The 3589-nt window shown below is 41.4% G+C and overlaps 1 annotated feature.

Annotated features, from left to right (window-relative positions):
- Positions 524-623: a silencer, noted in NCBI's record as "silent region_9299". NCBI's record gives its function as "represses an Ori minimal core promoter by ATAC-STARR-seq in GM12878 lymphoblastoid cells {active_cell/tissue: GM12878}" and the evidence as "EXISTENCE:reporter gene assay evidence [ECO:0000049][PMID:35858748]".

Raw genomic sequence — 3589 nt, forward strand, 5'->3', positions numbered from 1 at the left:
CACAGCTTAGACATTTCTATTTGTCAATTGCTTAAAACCTGAAATCAGAGATTTTATTAGATTAAACTTGAGGACAGGAAATTACCCCCTTTGAAATTCAACTACAGCATCTGAAAGAATGTTTTGACAGTGTAAAAGATTAAAAATAAGCCACAACTCAAAATTACCTTTAAAGTCTCCAAATCAAACAGTTATATGCCCTAACATGTAGAAATAATTGCTTAACCCCACAGTAGGAGAATGTCCCAGATAAAGACTCTTGCAGATACTTCAAGCAAAGTGCCATTGAAAAGATTATTGGACGTGAAAGATAAGAAACTGAAGTAGAAAAATATTGTTACAATAAAAACCTTAGCTGAATTGAGTTTAACAAAGTTTAATTGACCAAAGAACGATTCCAGAATAGGCTCTGAGACTCCAACTCAGCCACCTGGTGGAAGAGGATTTATGAACAGAAAAAGGAAAGTGATGTACAGATAACAGAAGTGAGGTGCAGAAACAGCTGGATTGGTTACAGCATGGTGTTTGCCTCATTTGAATATGGTTTGAACAATTGGCCACCTTTGATTGGCCGAAACTCAGTGATTGCCACAAGATGCTACAGTCTGTTTACAACTCCATTTAGGCTACAGTTCACTATATATAGGGAAACCTTTAGGCCAAACTTAAAGCTGACAAGGAGTCAGCTTTAAGCTAAATTTGTTTTAACAATATGATGCCTGCTGGGTGCAGTGGTTCATGCCTGTAATTCCAGCACTTTGGGAGACCAAAGCAGGCAGATCACTTGAGCCCAGGAGTTCGAGACCAGCCTGGCTAACATAGCAAGGTTCTATCTCTACAAAAAAAAATACAAAAAATTAGCCAAACATAGTGGTGCAGCCCCTACCCAGCTACTCGGGGAGACTGAGGTAGGAGGATCACTTGAGCCCAGGAGGTGGAGGCTGCAGTGAGCCAAGGTCACACCACTGCACTCCAGCCTGGGCAAGAGTGAGACCCTGAGAAAGAGAGCTAGGGGAGGGGGAGGGAAGGAAAGGATGCCCACACAGGAGAGAAATAAGTGTCTAGCTCCCCCCACTGTTGTACAGCCCAGGTGATGGACATCTTCCATGATCCCCAAACTCTCCATGCCTAAGCCTCTAACTGACCCTCTTGGACATTTCCTCCTTCTTTGTGATACCAGGCCTGCTGATTTAATTGAGATTTACTGTGTTCATGGGATTACCAGAAGACTGGTATGTCTGAAGATTTCTTCCCTGAAACCTGAAGATGCAAATTGTAGTTATTTGAAATACTAGCCTACCAATGTCCTTATATTTAAATAATATATATTTATTAAATCACATTTTTATATGTATATATATATATTTAAAACGAAGATTGAATAATTCTATAAGGATCTAGACTCCCATGAGTGAAGAGTTCCACTGACTGGCAGAAGCACTGGTGCCAAGGCCATTACAGCCCGAACCCTTACAGAACCCTTTAAACTGAAATTTACAGGGAGATGGAAAATCATAGAGGAAGATCAGATGGGTAGAAACCTAATCATCTTTGTACCAGTCCTTGTTGCACTCCTTTCTTTGGAGTTAAAACAGCCAGCAGATAATGCCATCAATTACCCAGCATATCACAGCTATAAAATAGCCTTACCTGTGATACCAAACCCCAATATCCTCCTACCCTAGGTACCAAGTTCTCTTATTTCACAGTTGTACTTCCCTGTACGGATCTTTGCTTTCTCCAGGATTCCTCTAAATTAGAACAGCCAATTTCTCTTTATTTTCTTCCTTGGAAGGTCAACGATATAACTGCAAATTGTGCCTCAGGATTCCACAGAAGACTTTTATTGCTTTTCATAAATCCTTAACCAAGACCTTAATCAGTTGCTTCAATGGGTTCTTATTTTTTCTTGAACTACTACATTTCTATACAACTTCACTAAGCTCATAGTATCAGGGCCCTTCCACTGGAAACCTAACCATGAGTGGGCATTTTGGGATTTAAAATTAGCTCTTTAACAGCTCCCTATAAGAAATCTACCTAATCATTATAATGTATCCAGTTGTTTGTACACAAACATTCTGGACAAGCCTGTGGGGCTTTCACTCAGCCTTATGAGTGTGACAGAGACCAACAGCTTACTACAACTTTTCCCTGATGGAAAAGGCATTTCTGCCTGGTTGCAGAGCAGTGGCAGCATCAGCTAAGCACGTAGAGACCTAGGATCGCCTCAGAGCATAGTTGTCCCTGGTGGTATATATAATCATTGCCACTCATGGGGAAAATTCATCACTTTCAGCAAGCAGAAGCACCTCATGTGAACTCTCATCATGCCTGGACATCTGTTATGCTTCTACTGGTAGAAGGAAAAACTCACAGTTGCTAATGTCTTCTTGGGAACTTTCCAGGCCTTAAATAAATTTCTTACAGACTCTCATAGAAAATCTAGATCAAATATCATTTGTTGATAGATACATCTGAAATTGGATTTTCGGTTCTAAGAAACCCATGAGGGTATCAATTTGTCCTGGTCCTCAGGACTGGCATTTCATAACACGTCACAACTCATCTCTAGAGTGTCACCTCTTACCAGAGGCAAAAGCAATCCAAATGATGGAGCTCAACACACTCATTAAAGCCTGTCACTGTGGCTCAGGATAAAAGGATTGATGTATACACTGACAGCAGGCACACTTATAGGGAGACACACGAGTTGGGGAAGCTCTGGAAATAGATCAGAGGGAAGCCCAATTAAAAATGGTCACCAGATTGATGAACTCCTAAATACCGGGATGCTCCCTAAAGCAGATGCCATTATAAAGGTAGAAGCACACACAAAGGAGTGTATTTAGAGGTGAAACGAGATGCTCTGGGCAGCACGATGCTAGGCGGGCAGTCCTCCCTACAGCTAGGCCTGCTAACACAACACACAAGTGAATTATTTGACAGGATCACAGACTACTGTGTGATATCAAAAATTGGTTCCAGAGTCAGACAAAAAGATATCGGTAATAATGTGGCTCTGTATTGTATGAGGGTAATCTCTCCCACTCTTGCATTAGCCTTCTGGTGGTGCCATAGAACTTCACAAATGGAGCCTTACAAACATTATATGTAAAATTACCCACCAGAGTAAGGTGTACCTAACTCTGGTAGGGAGACTGCTACATTTGTGGAGTGAGTACCTAATGCATATCTCATTTGTCACCAACATGATCCTCTGAAAACTTTAACGGTAGAATATGGATAAGACACCAGCCCTCAAGACCTCCTTGGACACTTCCAGATGAATTTCATACAATCACCATCATCCTACCTAAAGAACTCCAGTCTACATCTTCAATATTAGAGGAACCCACTTCACCGAAACCGTCATCGAGAAGCTTTGAAAACTCCTACCACTTACTCAAAAATTCCACTGTCTACATTATCTTTAATTTTCTTTCTTCTTTTTTTTTTTTTTTTTTTTTTTGAGACAGAGTCTTGCTCTGTCACCCAGGCTGGAGTGCAGTGGCGTGATCTCGGCTCACTGCAACCTCCGCCTCCCGGGTTCAAGAGATTCTCCTGCCTCAGCCTCCCGAGTAGCTGG

Source organism: Homo sapiens, chromosome 18 (assembly GCF_000001405.40).
Source record: "Homo sapiens chromosome 18, GRCh38.p14 Primary Assembly".
In the NCBI taxonomy this organism is placed as follows: Eukaryota; Metazoa; Chordata; class Mammalia; order Primates; family Hominidae; genus Homo; species Homo sapiens.